This window comes from Homo sapiens, chromosome 7, assembly GCF_000001405.40.
Source record: "Homo sapiens chromosome 7, GRCh38.p14 Primary Assembly".
Lineage (NCBI taxonomy): Eukaryota > Metazoa > Chordata > Mammalia > Primates > Hominidae > Homo > Homo sapiens.
The window spans coordinates 84,193,309-84,212,602 of record NC_000007.14 but is presented as its reverse complement, the minus strand read 5'-3'; the positions used below and the strand labels follow the sequence as shown (position 1 = coordinate 84,212,602).

Genomic DNA, 19,294 nt, shown 5'->3' with positions numbered 1-19,294 from the left:
AGAAATTTATCATGTGTGTCATTATTTGAGATGTTGACTAGTATAATGAATAGTGGTTTTGCAGACATCGTAAGAGTATTCTTCATAAGATCATTTGTTATAGCAACCTAAAACAAAGCTAAGGGCATAATATTACATTGTGATCAGTGAATCAATTTCTGTTAGAGGACTGTGAAAACACTTGTTGGGGAAATGGAGAAGTAGATGAAATTGAATCATTTAAAAGAAAAGAGAATTAATTTCCCCAATATGGTGATGATAAATGAAAAACTGTGTGTTCTAAATAGTTTTTGTTTTTAGAGTAAATATTTTCACTTTCATTGTGAATTCAAACTTCTAGGACAGAAAATAATTCTTAAATCTTTTTATATTTGAGAAAGAGAGAGCACTGATTAGTCAAAATCAGAGAATTATTAGTTAATTATTTCTCTTGTAGTTTGGTCTCCCAAACCAACTGCAATGTGGTTTCTTTTTCTGCTACCACCTCTGTTCTTCATGGGGTACCTATGATTTCCACCTAACTCCTTCAAATAGTACATGCAATGCTCTGCTCCCGAATATTCGTCTTCCATATTTGGCTGACTGTTGTAACAGTTTCTACGTGGATATGCATGACATTACTTTCCCCGGTTCTTCCCAGGTTGGTTGTTTCATTATTCTAGCTAAAGTTATACTCTTTTACCTGTTCCTCACCACAATGCAGAGTTCTGTCCTCAGCCTACTTTTTGTCTTTACATTGATCTTGAATCCCACATATAGACCAATTTTTGTCTCTGGCATGTGAGCTTTAAATGAATTCCCAAATGCTTATGGGTACCTAAAATACAAACTTGTTACTCTTCTCAAAATCAGCAAGTTCAAAATTCAACTGCTTTCTGTCTCCTCAGGCATATTCACACCTTTTCTTTTCTTGCTGGTCTCAGTTAATGTCTCCATTTATCTGTGCCAAATAACAGGAATTATGATAATTTTTTTTTTTTTAGATGGAGTTTCATTCTTGTTGCCCAGGTTGCAGTGCAATGGTGCAGTCCCAGCTCAATGCAACCTCCACCTTATGGGTTCCAAGCAGTTCCCCTGCCTGAGCCTCCCGAGTAGCTGGGATTACAGGCATGCACCAGCATGCCCGACTAATTTTTTTTTTTTTTTGTATTTTTAGTAGAGACAGGGTTTCACCATGTTGGCCAGGCTGGTCTCGAACTCCTGACCTCAGATGATCCACCCGCCTTGGCCTCCCAAAGTGCTGGGATTACAGGTGTAAGTCACCACACCCGGCTGAGAAATGTTTTAAAATCCCACTTCTTTATCCTCCTCTTTACGCAACCTTTCACCAAGGCTAGCATATTTGCCTCCTTTGTACAAACCTAATGTGCCTTCTCTCTTCATATTCAGTTGCTATGATTTGGGGTTTAGTCATCTCTGGTATAGACCATTCCATTAAAAACCTACATAGACTGAAGAATAAAAACTAAAGAACGAGAATGAGTCTCTTTTTGGTGGCTAAGTAGAATCTGCCTAAAACCATTGTCATAAAAGCAATTAAAGGCAACAAATTTTTAAAAGGAACATATCACTGATTCATTCATAAAAAACATGAACAAAAAGTTTTTGTTCTGTTCCAGATATATCTTGTCTAAGTGCTAACACTGTTTCAGTAAAAATATCTAGCCATAACATTAAAAAAAAATATTATTTGCAATGCTTAAGCCTGCAGATACGTAATGTTACCACTGTTTTGTGTTGACAATATTGCTTTATGAAGTTCTTGTATTTGAAAGGAATTAATCATTTTAAAGAAACATGGTGTATATTGTTCTTACAGGACTAGTTTCAGTGGTGTAAATAATAAATACCTTTTCTAAAAAAAAAAGAAAAAAGAAAAAAGAGAAAACCTGCATAGCCTTCCTAGTTCCATGTTTGTTCCTAGTAAATACATCACTCCACACTGCAACCATATTCCGTTTTCTAAAAAGAAAATCTGCCCATGGCATTCTCTTCCTTAAAATCCTTTCATGGCTTTCGTCACCTACATTACAGTTACAAGCATGACTATAGCAATGCTTTTTGATTAGGCCCCTGCTGATTTCTCTTTTCTCTCCTATTTATTTGCAATTTATACCCTGTTAATGACAAAATTGTTCCCATTTCCTGCACTCACACACGCTCTCCTATTTTATGGCTTTTTTTACTTTGGCTGAGCCTTGAAATGACCTCTTCCATTTTTCTTCACCTGCTCTTACTCATCATTTAAGACCCAAGTCAGACACCCTCTCCCACAGGAAGCCTCCTGTAAAACCAGTTGGGCTCAGCGCCTATCATCTGTGTTATCTGAGCAATTACCATGCTGTATTTGTTTTTTATTTTTATGTAACTCTTTCCCTCATTAGATTGGGACCTCCTCAAGGGCAGGAATCACATCTTATTCATTTTCTTCTTCCCCACAAAAAAAATACTTTAGTGTATGGAAATGATTCCAGGGCTGAAAATGATAACTATTCATTGAAATAAGTTGGATAAAATTATTATCAATAATATTGGTTTTCTTTCGCTATGTGAATATCTCGATGTACTTGAGTAAAATAATGTAAATTGAACATGTACATTATTGTCTCTAATGATCCCCTTAGGAAAAAAAGTAAACTTTCTTCCCAAAATAATAAGAATGGTAGACACCCTCCAGAAACTTTAACTTCAGCCAAATTCTTCTGCAGCATACCAATTATTTTTAATGTCAGAAGCATGTAAATGACTTTATCCCAGGTTGTTACTTCAGAGTCTAGTGTAGGAAGTATATTACAAATATTTTTATTTAATAAATTTATATGTTGTTATTGGGGCTATCATAGTTATTGTTGAATAGTTTGAATGGCAGAGTATTATATAACAGCCATTACATTTTATTATCCAACTAAAATTACAGTTTTACATGAAGAAATATGAACCATTAAATTCTTACTCCTAACCCAAATAATTAAATATTGCCAGTAATTTAAGTGATACATTTTATACTATGGTTTTGAAGTACACTTTTGGATATACTATTTTCAGCACAAGAAGGAACAGAAGGTGGAATTTATCTAATCCATCTCATTCATGTATAGAAAAGGACACTGAGCCCCCAAGAAATTCATTAACTCAACACATAATTGGTTAGTGCCCAAACTGGAAATAGGACTCAGGTTGGGTTTCCCTCATCATACTGTACTGCCTCTTTATTTGTTATTTAATAATATAATCTATGCATTTGGCCTAAACCTGAGCCTGCACTCACACAAATACATGCACAAACATACACACATACACAGCCTACTACATGGAGTGATTAAATGATAGAATCGTTTTGTTGTCATTCCTACTTGGATCACTGAGTAATATAAAAGGCTAAACTCTAAAATTAGCTGAATCACTAAGAAGTGGTTACACAATGTTCTTCTCTACTTTGTAGTTTCATTCCAGATTCTATGCAGGTATATGTAACAAAATGAAAGTATGAAAAGTGATGTTTCTTCCATAGCATACATGAAATAAAACTCTTGGAGGAACAATAAGATTCTAAAATGCAAGTATTTGTCACAAATATTTAAAATTGAATTAAGGTGTAAATAGGCCACTAGTCCATTTGTTATAAAATAACATTCTATTTAGATGTTGAATGTAATTTCTAGAGCATTACATATACACAGTATCCAATGCTGGTAATGAGACTCAGGTGATAGTGTTTACCTTTAGATCCATGTATAATGCAGTAATAAGAAACCTGTAGTTTTATGTATTCTGAATCTGATTTCTGAAACTAGCCTTTATCACTTTTTGCAAGACTGAAATCTGAGAGTAATTCTTTGGAATAAGGAAATGGGTCAAAGCCAACTGTTCCACTTATACTTAAGATGCCAGAAATCGCTCATGAGTTTGTATCATTCAGTAGAGAAGAGAATTACTTTATGACACATTACTGGAAACTACCTCAGCTTAATTAAATACTTTTTAAAAGATAACAGTAATTATCTTTTATCCATGTTTTAAAGTTTATAGTTGAATGACATGTAGATGGTTGCTGTATATTTCTAAAAGGCTAGTCTTACATTGCCTCCCTCATTTAATTGCAAATTTTTGATGGCAGAGAATGTATTCATTTGTCTTTCCGTTCTTTTTTTTTTTGAGACGGAGTCTCTGTCACCCAGGCTGGACTGCAGTGGCAGGATCTCGGCTCACTGCAAGCTCCGCCTCCCGGGTTCACGCCATTCTCCTGCCTCAGCCTCCCCAGTAGCTGGGATTACAGGCGCCCGCCACCACACCCAGCTAATTTTTTGTATTTTTAGTAGAGGCGGGGTTTCACCATGTTAGCCAGGATGGTCTCGATCTCCTGACCTCACGATCTGCCCCCCTTGGCCTCCCAAAGTGCTGAGATTACAGTCATGAGCCACAGTGCCAGGCTTGTCTTTCCATTCTTAACATTTTAGTATATAACCTGGTACAAAAGTTTAATAACTACTTTGAATTATATTAAATATGGATGTGTGTGTATATAATGTAGGCATGCATGTATATATAAGTATATACACATATACATTTATACATAAATATGCATACATATGTGTGTAGGTATGCATACATGTGCATGTGTGCATATACACATATATAAAATACACAAGACTAAAATGCCTTATAATCTTAGGAAGAAAAACCTCCACATAACTGCAATCTCCTCACTGTCTCACTGTTTTAGGGTCCTCATTCCACACACAGCCTTATTCTCTCACAGCAGTCTTTCTTTATTGCAGCTCAATTGCAGGGAAACCCGCCTCCCATAGCAACAGCCCCACCAACCTACTAGGAAAAGGAAGACACATTTTTCCTACACCTATGTCCACAGGAAGATGACTTGACCTCTTAAATTTTATCATGCCTGAGTTTTAGCTTATAGGTCAGAGAACTTGGCAAAATGAAAGCCATTTTTGTCAAACCTATACGTAATGAAATTCTATTATTTAAGCATATTTCATTACCCTAAAACAAACTACTCTTCCACACATCCCAAAAGAGAACACAGTAATTTCTTCAGTTAAACAGAGTTTCTTAACATAGCCCTTTTAAGCAATTATATTTTAAGTAAGAAAATGGTCTTTAACCAGTTTTCTGATTCTGGTTTGTTTTTCAAATTAATCTTAGTGGGTTATGGAATACATAGAATCATTTGAATCAGGATTTGATAGAATGGGCAGAGTTCTGAAAACCTTCAGAATTTGTTTTAAATCCTACTTTGACTGTTCATCTAAATAACAGTTTTGACAGCCAGCTTTGTCTCTTGCTGTCAGCCCCACCCTGCATCTCCCAGGAACCATGACAATAGTCAGGAAGTAATTCACTTACATTTGTTGAGGACCCATTGTGTGAAAGGAATGTTACTAGGAACCTCACAGGAAATAGGCCATAAGAGCCTCACCACTGAAGAGGTCTCTCGATTAAAGCAGTGCTACAAGACGAATATATTCATGAAATATGCACTTTACTGACAGGATGAATATGTGTAAACATGTGTAAACATGCCCAAACACCTGTATGTATAGAGATTTAACTAATAGTGATAATCATTGTTTGGGTGCCTATAATTAGGATAAATAATTTTGGAAGACTTTGTAAATAATTGAATATTTAAAGGTGGGTAATCAAAGTAGAGATAGAATGAGTTACAGAAAGGGATATTTACTATAATATGTAATTGCTATGATACAAAACATAGAAAAATATCTTACTCATTTTTTTTTTTTACCATATCCTGTCACTTATTTATGCAGTTGAACGAGAAAGAACTATAGAAAATACCCATTTAATAGAAAGTACCCATTTAATAGTATCCACTTTGGGAGGCTGGGCTGGTTGGATCACCTGAGGTCAGGAGTTCGAGACCATTTAATAGATAAGTAACAGCAATCAGAGCAATCAATAAATGTAAATTTTACTTAGACTAAAATGCCATCTTGGAAGGCCGGACGCGGTGGCTCACGCCTGTAATCCCAGCACTTTGGGAGGCCGAGGCGGGCGGATCACGAGGTCAGGAGATCGCAACCATCCTGGCTAACATGTTGAAACCCTGTCTCTACTAAAAAATAGAAAAAATTAGCCAGGCGTGGTGGCAGCGCCTATAGTCCCAGCTACTTGGGAGGCTGAGGCAGGAGAATGCCATGAACCCTGCAGGCGGAGCTTGCAGTGAGCCAAGATCATGCCACTGCACTCCAGCCTGGGCGACAGAGCCAGATTCTGTCTCAAAAAAAAAAAAAAAAAAAATGCCATCTTGGTTTCTACAATAAACTAAGATTTTAAAAATTCACCAGAGTAAAATTGGCTTATTTTACTTTCTTTCTTAATGCTTTTAAAGTATATATTTATTATGGAGGTATTAACATTTAAATAAATCAGAATGGGAAGAATGCCATAGTGTCAATCATGTAATTTTTATGAAATTATTCTGAAATTGTATGAGGGAAAGGCAATATGATCTAGCTGCTGGGGTTGCAAACAGCCCGTCACTGTTAGATAGCTGAAGTGCCACATCCTGCATCTTGTTAAATGTAACTCAATCATCTCTATTTCTAAAAGAAGGGTCTTTATTTTCATCCTGGCACTCTAGTTTTAAAGTAGACTGAAGCCTAAGTTTGTTTAAAGCTACAACATGCTTATTCATATAAAATAATTAGTGACATTCGAACCACTTTCTGATAGACTCAGTTTAGTAAGAGACTAAGTGGCTTTCCACATTTATTGAATTCACATTTGAAAGTACTGTTGAATACATTTGAAACAGTATTTTTGAGGGACTACAATAGGAATGAACTTTCAAAATTCTGGATAGTGTTATAAAACATGATTCTTTAAAGTCTACTGAATATATCACACTACTTATAGCTAATAAATCTAGGAATTTTGCCATGGATTGACACTTATGCATAGGAATTGTAATTCTATTCAGATTGTGGCAATTATATTTTCATGCTTAACTTTATACTGTTTCTAGACTTCTGGAAATTATTATGAAAAAATAAATATGGACATGAATTGTTTTATAAATTTAGATATCTGTAAGAATTCATCTTATGAATTTAAATGATATTTTTGTCAGTGTCTATTTGCAGATCTGAGAAACTGTTAAAAGATAGTTGCATAACTGTAATCATTGCCATGTTTTTGCCAAGGTATTTTAACAATGATACCAAAAGTAAAGAGAGAATGTTCCTGTTGAAACTATTATAGTAAAAATTCCACCAGAATGGAAAATTAACTTATTTACCAGCCAATCAGGATTCCCTAGTGTTCTGAAAACAGCATGAAACAAAACTTGTTGAGTAGTTAAAATAGTAAAGAGTGCTATTGACCTATGAGATGTAATGACTTGAAATATAAATAGTAGCAGGAGATATTCCCATAATAATTGTACAGGTGTTTCACCTGTTGACCTTAACTTCTCTGCTTCCTAAAGTTAACTATGACACTTATCTGGGAAAATAATTTGCTCTGAAATGTAAATACTCACTAACTCATGCAGTTTGTGACTTAGGTTATTAAAACTCACTCACATGTTGAGGATTTAGTACTAGTAATGGGTCTTCTAATAATTTAAGGCTTGATTTACCATAAAAGATACGATTCTTTCTGTGCAAGCCACAAAAGATGGAGGATCTCAAATGCACATCTGGCCAAGTGAGTCACCAGCAATTTGTGAAGTGGTGAAACGTTGCTCTCTTTCAATTTGCAGCTGCCTACAGTTGCAGGGCTGATTAGCAAAGGCAACCTCATACTTGTTAGTCTAAGTCATGGTTTCTCTGCTTACTACTGCCCTCTCCAATCTTCACATTTTAATACACATGATCTGATTCTTCATGGTCAAACCTACTGCGTTTGATATATAAATTTAGCACATTTAAAATGTATCATGTAATACTTAAAGGGCAACTTTTCAAACCATAAAATTAATAAGAGCCTAGATCCTCCTCTCTTTCATTTAGCCTTTGTGGTACCTATGGCAAGTGATTCTCAAGAAGTTGCCTCCTGTTTCTCCTAAAGGGCATTTCGGAGTCACTAATTTTTCTCCCCAGTATCTACATGATATTCTCATGCCCCATGTTCAATTCTGATGCCCAGAAGCTTACCCAAACTCTTTGACTGCAAAATCCGACTCCACAGTGTCAGGGAATGTGGGATCCTCGATGTCCTTGTATTTGGCAATAAAAAAATATATCCCATTTGACAGCCATGATGGGAAAAGGGGGTGATCAACTGCTTTCTAGACAAATAAACTGACATTTATATTATATTGCTACAAATTATGATCTTATGACTTAAATCCAGATGTTCTGTCTTATATAATACATGAATTTTCACAATTGTGGTGCTTTATTTCTTGAGAGTTTCACAGCCATCGTTCTTAATTTTTAAATTAAAAAAATAGAATATTACCATTGGGAGACACTACACATTTAGAAACACTGTAGAATACTCATTTTGATTATTATCTATATGAGTAACATACTGTGATAGTCCGCCGGCTATAGTAAATCTGAAGAGGAGTCTTTAATCTCAAAAGAGATATATAATTGTATAAAAGTTAATAACAATGAAATTTCCTATGTTTTGAAGGAGAAACTAAACATATTTTGTTTTGTGAACTATAATGTAGTTATTTTAGCAGCATTTTAGAATTCTCTCTAATGCCATGGCCTACACTCCAATACATGCTTAACATAAAAGCATGAACAACTAGTGCAATTATATCTACAAAGAGGCCAGGTGTTGTGGCTCACTCCTGTAATCCCAGCACTTTGGGAGGCTGGGGCGGTTGGATCACCTGCGGTCAGGAGTTCGAGACCAGACTGACTAACTTAGTGAACCCCCTCCCTACTAAAATTTAAAAAATTAGTTAGGTGTGGTGGCACACACCTGTAATCCCTGCTACTTGGGAGGCTGAGGCAGGAGAATTGCCTAAACCTGGGAGACAGAGGTTGCAGTGAGCCGAGATTGTGTCATTGCACTCCAGCCTGGGCAACAAGAGTGAAACTCTATCTCAGAAAAAAAAAAAAAAAAAAAATATATATATATATATATATATATACACACACACAAAGAAATACTTTCTACAAAACTGTTAAAACTAGGAGATTTCTGAACATAATATTTTAATTAGTATACATTTCCCTTGACTAATTAATTAATCCATTAATTAATAGGATAGGCTTTATTCTGTGCCAAATTCTATGCTGAGCATTAAAAATAAAATAAGAAAAAAAAAGGCTTCTCTTCCCTTTGAATTTAGAGTCCACTGAGGAAATGTGATACAAAGCAATAGGAACTATAATAGATAAATGCACTCAACACCGTAGAAACATAGGAAGAAGGAGCTCCTAGAATACTTGCAAAATATTGTGATGTATTATGCAAGGCTTTTTCAAAAATATATAAAGTAATCCTATATACTGAGTCCCTAATGCAAAATCTTATATCCTGAGTCCCTAATGCAAACTGTAGGCAGATTAGCTTTAGGGGAATACAATAGCCCTTAATCATGAGTAATCCAACAAAATATGTAGACAATCTGTCATCAGCTAGAGTCTTCTAGAAGAATAGAGAAGATATTACTAGAAGGGATGAAAAACAACACAGGAATTAATGAAATGAGTATAACAGTATAGATGTATTAAAAAATTAAGCACATTATGCCAAAATAGATACAGAAAGATTTATAGATGGTTTATATAACTTGGGGCAGGGAAAAAAGAGATAAATTGGCATTAGGACATTCATGACTAGGAATATACATCTGTATCCTAAAAAAATAACCTGTGATTAGTTTTGTAAGTCACAAAGACTGGCGCCTAAACATATCTCAAAATTTTGTTGAATGAATGGATAAATATAAAGGAAACAATGCAAGGTATGTGATAAGTAAAATGTTTTCAATGGTTACCAGTTTTGAGGGTAGAGAAAGAGTATATTTGAAATTATTTCTCTGGAAACAAATTAAGTGCGCTGGATTGCACACTGTGGCAAGCACCTACCAAGTCATGTCAACAGCCCAAGAAAGAGACTACCACATTAACTTGGTTTGTTCAATTTCAGTTTTCCTATTTCCATAAGTGATTGCAATTTTGATTTAACAGAATAGAAAGAGGCTTCACAGCATCAGTAAATGTGCAGTGAATATTTAATAGATGAAATTAGACCACTAAAATATCAGATTATTATTTATTATTTTTAAAATTGACAATAAAATTGGATGTATTAACTGTATAGGACATATTGTTTTAAAGCATGTATGCAATGTGGAATGACTTAATCTAGCTAATTAGCATATGCATTTCCTCCCATAGTTATCACTTTTGTGGTGAGAACACTTTACATTCACTCTCTTAGCATTTTTCTAGAATTCAATATATTGCAAACTATAGTTGCCATGTTGTACAATTCTATCAAAAATATCAAATATCATTTCAACAAAGTTACACAATGAGAACTACACTCATTGTTTTAAATCATAGGATAAAAAAATAAATTTGTTTTCCTCATGTATAATCAGCACATTGTGACAGTTCACTGATAAAGCTTTAGTTGAGATGGCAAAGTGTATGTGAGAACACAATTGCATTGGGAGAACATCGTTTTTGTCTCAAAAGGAAGATTATAAACTTTAATTAGATGTTTGGGGATCTTTAAAGTGCTTTAAGTCACCAAAGTTATGTATCAACTTTAAAAAATCAACCAAGGGAATACTCACATTGTCACTTAAGTCCTCAAGTCAAACTTTTTCACCTTGAATCTGTAATTTAAGAAGATTCAAAGTTAGACATATTGGATGTTATTTCTGTTCTGTTTGATACAACAGGAAAAGGAAAATGAATTTATGTTGATTGATTTTCAAAGAGATTAGTTCTATGGATATGCTCTAAGAAAAACATGGAATTTTTAAAAACACATTATTGTCAATAATAAAAACATTGTTAACTAATAAACAAGGCATTTTCTAATCTCCTCCATAAGGTGACAGCTGCTTTTGTAGCCAAGGCAGTGAAATTAAACCTGGAATATAATGCTACTCTACACATTGGGGGGCGGGGAAAGAAGCATAAACTGGATCAAATGATGTTTTACACTTCAGACAATATGGAATAAAAATAATTGAAGTCATTTTTTTTCTAACTATTGCAACTTACAGAAATCTGTGCCCTTAAAAAGCAGAATGCACTGTAGATTTTGAATCACCATTTACCAAACAGTTGATTTTGCCATTATAATAAACCCTTTTAAGGAGCTTTAATTCTAGGTTTCAGCATTCCTGTTCTTTATTCTTACCAGCTTCAAGCTCATTAAAAACATTTAAGACAAAGAAAAAAGTCCTCTTCCTAGGCCATAGAGATTGTAATAAACTTACATCTGAGGTGCAACATTCTTTTTCAGTGGATAACAAAGGGGAACTCTATGCATCTGCTTTGCGTGAGTCAGATGTAAAGTAATCCTTTAAACCATATTGCTTAGTCTCTTCACTTTGTTTATTTAGTGTAGACCGACTTATTTATTTATTTATTCAGTGAAAATGTGTGTGATATGCCTTTACTGAAAGCAAACAGCTAATAAGTTAATATCCTGAAACACCCGATAGCCAACCTGCTCATTTCATTTGTATTCCACAGATGCCTCATTTTTTCCTCCTCACTGCCTAGCCTGTACTGATCAGTATTAACAATGGGATTTTTGTCTCACTTGAAAACTTTCTTGTTCCATTTGAGTTGAGGTGGAGACTCTCACTTAAAAAAAAAAAAAAAGGAAAAAAAACCCAGGTATTTTCAGTGTTTCACTGCTTTTAATATATTAATATTCAGGAACACTGCATTCATTCTTCAGATAATCTCACAAAGTAGCTGTAGTGATGACAAGACCCTTAAGCAGATAGAAATGGCAAAGAGAAAATGCCACTTTGAAACATTCTGAAATGTTAAAAATGTGTTGAATTTAAGAAGACAAAAGAAAAGAGAGACCATAGAAGTGATAAATCATTTCTATAACCGTATTTTAGCTACATTTGGCAAGTGGGATACTAACCATAACTTATGAAATTTTATGCATCCCTTCTCTTGTCACTCTCTTTCATCCTCCACTCAAACTTACCAACCTAATAAAATTCACCTACTGGCTCCATTACTCAAACTCTCAGGGAAAAGACAGTTTACCGCTAGAAGACTTTCCCTGAATTGTCTAGGATTTTCTTCCACTCTACCGCCATCATTAATGACTATCTGAACAGTTTCTGGTCTCCTTCTGTATTGTTTTAATATTAAGACTTATCACATCAATTCATTTGAAAAACAAGGAATATTTTTATGTTCTGAGTCCTTATTTACCTTAAAGTATCATAAACATTAATATTGCAAAAGAAAACAGGAAAACACAAAACTTTTTTTTTTTCCCCCAACTGTTACAAATTCAGTCCAGGGGAAGGAAGAGCTTCTTTTACTGAAATCACTATTCATGATGAGGGTGGGTCAGGGCATGGAGGGGTGGGAGAGTCAAAGGGAGAGGGAAGAGTTAATGCTTCCCTACAGATTGAATTCTCTTTGCATTTTATCAATTCCTTCTCTCAACTCATGCTTTCACATGTTGCTTATACTGAAAGCATTCATAAGGGTCAGATTCTAAAAAGTTTAACTTAATTTCTTAAACATTGCTTTTAACCTGCCACCCCCGGTTTCCAGCAACAACTACAGTAGTTCCTAAATCACTATCATTTTTGGCTAGAATGAATAATACATCAACTATTTATTTTCTCCAATTAATAGAGTGTCTTCTGATCGTCTAAAGAATTTTTTCACCCACAGAATTCTTTTTTAGAAAAAAGAAAGGTTCAAATTTCTTGTATAGAAAAACCTTCATTAAAAATGAATTTCCAACATCAGAAGTCAGAGCAAGGCAAATGTTTGAGTATGACATTTGCTGAAATTCTGTTGATTGTAAGCCTTTCTCAAATACTAATGAAGCGTTCCTTGAAGAAAAAAAAAAACGGAAATAACAGATGTTGATTGAGAAACAATATGTTTTTTACATGTCTCAATTGAAAAACACCTTGCCAAGAATACTAAAATTTGTGTTTTTAGTACTGGTTTCCTCTTTGGTGTTATTTCTTAGAAGAACAGATTAACTAACTCATTTAAAAATTCCCAACTTAGTAATTTCCTTTAAAGAGGTCATCTGCTTCTGAGGGTGGCACACTTTTGGGGATTTCCTGTATCTGATCACAATGAAATGGGTATGGAAGGTGATTTGCAGAAAGAGGTGAGGTTATTTAATCAAGTGCATCCTAACTTCAGGTACATTTTGTCCACTAAATCTTTGAAATACATCTAAAACACAATTTCTCCTTATATTCTTTTCTGGACAAATACAGCTAGTATTTCTACCTAACCATTCACAGAGAGATTCAGGGTATGTATAACCAAGGAAAGTACTTAGACGGCTATCTCACAAATTAGGAAACAGCGCTGCTCTTAAATTACAGTGTTTATTATTATCCAAATTTGTTTCAATAATAGCAAAATATAGAGAGGGAACATTTTAAAATTAGACACATTGGTTTCATCCAATACCTGAAAAGATAAAAAATACATAGCCAATGTGTAAATACTTTAATACGTATCTTCTATGACTACAGAGGTCTTTACTGAAAAACAAGTTAACTAACCTGTTGTGAAATGGGAAGTGTTGATCCTCTAGAAAATCAAGCACACCATCCAGAAAGTTGCCACTGTCAAAAATTTTAGCACTCTTTCCCAGTACAGAGGGAGGTGAGGTTAAAAACTACTGATCTATTTGACAGAAAAGTATACAACAGCATGATCATCCTATTAAGCACCTGCTGAAATGTAACTCCACGGCAGGAGTTAATCATATTTGAAAGCTCGAATTGTTAGAACATATTAGACACTCAATTACAAATACAGTTACATATAGTACACTATGTAAATTGTGGGTTAGAAAATAATTGAAAATAGGCTACTTAGAGGAAGAAATAAATAAGAATATTTCACTTATACCTTAAATAAAATTCAATGTTAAAAGGCCAATATAAGGCCGGGCACAGTGGCTCATGCCTGTAATCCCAGCACTTTGGGAGGCTGAGGTGGGTGGATCATTTGAGTTCAGGAGTTTGAGACCAACCTGGCCAGCCTGACCAACATGGTGAAACCCTGTCTCTACTAAAAATACAATTAGCTGGCTGTGGTGGCAGTTGCCTGTAATCCCAGCTACTCGGGAGGCTGAGGCAGGAGAATTACTTGAAACCAGGAGGTGGAGGTTGCGGTGAGTCGAGATCGTGCCACTGCACTCCAGCCTGGGCAACAAGAGCAAAACTCCGTCTCCACAAAAAATAAAATAAAAAAATAAAAAAAGGCCAATATAATATTTGTGACTTTTAAAAAGTAGTAAGTGATACAGTAAAATAAAATCAATGGTTATGGTGTATGGTGTCAAATACAGTAAGTTTTCTAATTTCAGAATTTAGGCCACAGATTCTCAGAGTAAGGAGTGATCTGGCCGGGCTCGGGGGCTCACGCCTGTAATCCTACCACTATGGGAGGCGGAGGCCGGCAGATTGCCTGAGTTCAGGAGTTTGAGAACAGCCTGGGCAACACGGTGAAACTCCGTCTCTACTAAAATACAAAAAATTAGCTGGGCGTGGCGGCGTGTGCCTGTAGTCCCAGCTACTCGGGAGGCTGAGACGGGAGAATTACTTGAACCCGGGAGGCCGAGGTTGCAGTAAGCCGAGATCGCGCCACTGCACTCCAGCCTGGGGGACGGAGCGAGACTCCGTCTCAAAAAAAAAAAAAAAAAAAAAAAAAAAGAGTGATCTTTGGAGGAGTGGATTAAAATCTGCATTGTACACATGCAGCCAGATTCCGATAGATTCTGACACCGCCCATCCAGGTCCACCCATACCTTGCTTCTACTTTAGTTGAGAAATAAGTTGAAGTTTGATTATCCTCAGGTATTTGGGGATATTAAGAAAAAAAAAGTTAAACAATTTTATTCAACTCTGAGCAAAGTCGAATGAGAAGGCAGTAGAAATATAATATTCCAAATGCTTTTGTGAGTGTTTTTCAGGCATTTACTTTCTTCTTTCATTTTTTATTTAACATTTGAATTATCTGTGTGTGGCCAGACATTTCTAGTATTTTATAATTTAATCAGTCTAGGACAGTTAGTTTGCCTGAAGAATATACTATTTTTACATTTCTTAAATAAAAAATCTGCAGAAAAGCAAATATAAATGCAAACCTATGAAACTTTTAAACATCTGGAAAAACAGGAAGATCATAAATAATTTGGAGGATAAGAAAAATATCAAATATAAATAATCATATCATAGTTTATAAAAAATCGTGTGTATATGGAGGTGTCTGTGCTACCAACTTCCATGTGTCAACATTAATTTAAATTATTCATTTTATGAAATGAAATAACTTTGTCCTGATTTTGTGGTTCAAAATCCAGATTTTATGTTTTTCTTCCCCCATGGAGCCATTTTTGACCCTCTTTTATCTAAATTTACTTACAGCCTTTTGTTTTATTTGGAGCATATAAAAATGTTTTAGGATTAGACATTACACAGGTGAAATGGATACACTTATAAATTTTATTATCCTGTTTAGTTTTGACAAAAACTTGCTCTTCTATTCTAGAAAACAAGAGTAAAAATATAAATATATTTTAAGACATATAAAATATATACTAATGAAAATGGTAAAACTACTTAAAGCATTTAAACTAATTATATGTGAGATTTCAATAGGATAATTCATTAGTCCAATCCTTGAAATAATCCCAAAGCGACATGAATTCCTCTGCAGAATGAATGTCTATAGAGAGTAATCCATGGAAGACAGACAAGCCTCTTGTCATTTGTAGCCTTAATCCATTGCCTAGAGCGTGAAAGTGCCTAGTATAACAAGTGTGGGAATCAGTAAAATCAACATTATTTTTGGATTTTATTTTCTTAACAATACTGGCTGATCAATAGGCTTGAGGAAACTGACAAATACAATAAGATCTGTTTGATGAGTCAATCTAGTGAAGTAGAGAGAGAATTCCTACTCCCTTTTCCCCATTCTCCCCCTCTTTAAATCCTCCTCTTCCTCCTTCTCCACCTACATTCACACAAGCCACACATCCAACGGCAGAGAGGGAGAGACAGAGAGAGAGAGAGAGAGAGAGAGAGAGAAAGCAGAGCGAGCGAGCGCTGTGCTTTCTCTATTGGTCTGTGGACATTAAGTAATGAAAGCTGTAGTGACAATGCTTAGATCATTTTCTTAAGAATACTAAGCCACTTTCAGTAGGTGTTTATGTTTTTAATTGTGAGACTCACTCTCTCCCTTCAGCCAAGAAGTTTCCCTACTATTGAAGTTGAGTCTCTGGATTCCAAGTGCTGTTCTGGAGGTGGGGGGTGGGGAGTGGTGGTAGGAGGGGGTAGGGCAGAATCATTTGGGGAATAAAGGAGAGAAAGTTCTGTCCTGTTAACTTTTTTATACATCCCCTAAAGATTCTTGTAAAAATATCAGCTTTGAGGAAAACTGAATGAAAAATAAGAGAGAAAATTGAGAGGCCACAGCCAACTACTTGTTTCAGAAGGAACTAATGGTGTTCATATGACTGCCTGAATACATGCCTATACGTCCCACAGAAAATTTAGTAACCCTTCAGCAGCTCATGAAGACACAGAGATATTCTTTTCATGTTACTCCTTGACACTCAGCAGGGACTTTTGTGAACTTTGTCATCTTCCGCTGCCCTTTAAACCAAAACTAGGGAAGTGTCTTTAATTAATGAGATGTGATGCATTGAAAATGTTAGCCAGAGCATTCCAGAAGCTGGAAAACCATAGACGTTTTTAAATTCTGAGTATCCTTTTGAGAATCCCCCGTTGTAATTTATAATTCTCAAAGGACCTATATTTGTCTTGAACTGATTGTTGGAATGGGCTTTAGTAGGAATTTCTTCCCTGAAATTGCAGTGGGACAGAGGAAGGGGGTGGTTGAGCCCAGGGGGTTTGTTGGGAGGAGGGAATGATCTCTAACAAGGCTTTAAAACCTTCAGTGGTTAAAGTTGTATTGATGAGGATATATAGACACACACACACACACACACACACACACGCACACATACAATGCACAAGTTCAGCAGGATTGTATAATGAGCATGAATTGTAAATTTTGTAGGTAGCAGAATTCAGATTTTTAAAATCAAAATTGCACCCAAAAATGGCTATAAAACAACGCTTGCCTTGGGAAGTAAATTTATAGCTACATGCCTTTCACAGGCACGCCTGAGGGTTCTGCTCCCGGCTCTAATCTCTACGAGATGTTTTTTGCATGTGTTGTGTGACAGGAGGGAAGGGGAGTAGGTTGAGCTCGCCTGTTCTCCCATTGTCAGCCAGTCTAGTGAGTGTTGGGGAAACCTGTCTGTGGGATCTTGTGTCATCTCCCTCTACATGCGTACAGGAAAAGTCCGCGCTGCTCACGGTTTCTCTCTCTCTCTCTCTCTCTCTCTCTCTTTCTCTCTCTCTCTCTCTCTGTTTCCCTTTCATTCTGCTTCCCCGGAGCCGAATGAAGCAGGGAGCAGGATTAGAGACTGCCACCGGCTATCAGAGGAGCTTAGATAAAAGGAACTGCTTCTTAAGCACCACTGCAGCAGACCTTGTTAATTTTTTTTTTTTTTCTTTCCACACAACAGTTGTGCCTCATTATCCGGTGCCTGGCTCGGAATTTTTTTTTTTTTTTTTCTTTTTGGAGGGTTTGAAGTTTCTGTGCTTCAGTGACTGTTACAGAAGAAGAGGTGTTAGTGTTGCCATGAGGTCTTGATTGTCTGCATTTATGAATGAAACTGACCTAAATCACCTGTTACCTCCAGTTTCCAGATTGTTTGAACTTCTCTGGCCGCACAATACAGGAAGGAAGACTAAAGCAGCAAAGGGACCTACAGCGTCTGCAGCATGGGCTGGTTAACTAGGATTGTCTGTCTTTTCTGGGGAGTATTACTTACAGCAAGAGCAAACTATCAGAATGGGAAGAACAATGTGCCAAGGCTGAAATTATCCTACAAAGGTAAATCTTATTTTTCTTTTATTTGGTTAGCTTTGTAATAACCGCCCCCCCCCTTAATTCCTTGAACTCCCTCCCAACCCCAAATCATCAAACCTTTAGTTTAACCTGGTAAACCGACGTGATTATGTGTATCTTTCTGAGATGCTTTAAACGCTTTTTGTAAAAAGCATGTCTTCTGTTTGATATATGACAACTTAAATGCAAACAAAGAACATTTAATCACATTTGCTGAAAAGAGCTGTATGCCTGGTACACGCTGATCTGTATATCTTATTATCCTATCTTATGCCTGTTAATTTTTCCGACTTTAATTCTATTAAAATATTTTCTTAAAAATAGAAATGCAAAAATGGTCTCTTTGTAGATGTGCATGCCTTACCTATAATTACTATGATGAATTGCATTTTCTTAGTTTTAGACATGAAATGGTTAATCGTCATCATGAATATTCAGTTTGTTCAAATCTGACAATCAGATGCTTAACATAAGCAGTAGATCATGGTTTGCCAAGAGAACATAAACTGGATGGAACAGACTAGTTTTTCCACAGTGCCTTATGATTGTACAAAAGACTGTATTTGGCTAATTGTGTAAAGCTAAAGTCTTTGAAATATTATGTTATTTAATTCTATATGTACTTCAGTGAGAACTGCAGACACATTACTGTCTGCTTGCATAGGTAGTTGTGTAAACTTCTCTTTTGAAAAGTATAAATTAAAGAGAGAAAAAAGAGCTTTATCACTAGTGCTTTATTTGGTTACAATTTAATGTATGTGCTTATTTTTATTGAGGATTTTTTATGTTTGTTCCACATTTGCTTAGATAGGTCTTATAGATAGATGATGTGTAAAGTAATGCTAAAGTAGAGCCCAAAATGATATACATACATTTAGTGGCAGTAAATCTTTCTATAACTCAGGTATTATTAAAATGGAGTTGAAGATTAAACTGTTTTAACTCAAGTAGTTTTACTCCCTAAGGTGTTGATTTCTTATGATTCTCAGATTTCTAAAATTGGGGGTGGAGCAGTGAGAAGCTCTAATTAAGCTTATTTTTTAGCCTATAAGTTAAAATAAAAATTATTGAAGGTATTTGTAGAGATGTCTGTCTACTGTACCTTGCTCTTATGCCACAAAACATATTCTTTAATTCTCATATGATGGGGA

At 35.5% G+C, this 19,294-nt stretch overlaps 1 protein-coding gene across 3 annotated transcripts in view, besides 2 other annotated features; it reads left to right on the top strand.

Annotated features, from left to right (window-relative positions):
* Positions 1-19,294, top strand: part of SEMA3A (semaphorin 3A) — a 536,949-nt gene that overhangs the window by 280,123 nt on the left and 237,532 nt on the right. For 2 of the 3 annotated variants that reach the window (XM_005250110.4, XM_047419751.1), the window contains one exon: positions 17,935-18,128. In XM_005250110.4, the coding sequence (XP_005250167.1) occupies positions 18,017-18,128 (112 nt within the window). In that variant the 5' untranslated portion in view covers positions 17,935-18,016. Of the gene's footprint in view, positions 1-17,813; positions 18,129-19,294 lie in introns of those variants that run through there. The other variant, NM_006080.3, reaches the window with a different exon arrangement.
* Positions 5,855-6,597: an enhancer, noted in NCBI's record as "H3K27ac-H3K4me1 hESC enhancer chr7:83835322-83836064 (GRCh37/hg19 assembly coordinates)". NCBI's record gives its function as "activates a minimal SCP1, AML or CMV promoter by ChIP-STARR-seq in primed H9 embryonic stem cells {active_cell/tissue: H9 hESC(primed)}" and the evidence as "EXISTENCE:reporter gene assay evidence [ECO:0000049][PMID:30033119]".
* Positions 16,893-17,700: an enhancer, noted in NCBI's record as "H3K27ac hESC enhancer chr7:83824219-83825026 (GRCh37/hg19 assembly coordinates)". NCBI's record gives its function as "activates a minimal SCP1, AML or CMV promoter by ChIP-STARR-seq in naive H9 embryonic stem cells {active_cell/tissue: H9 hESC(naive)}" and the evidence as "EXISTENCE:reporter gene assay evidence [ECO:0000049][PMID:30033119]".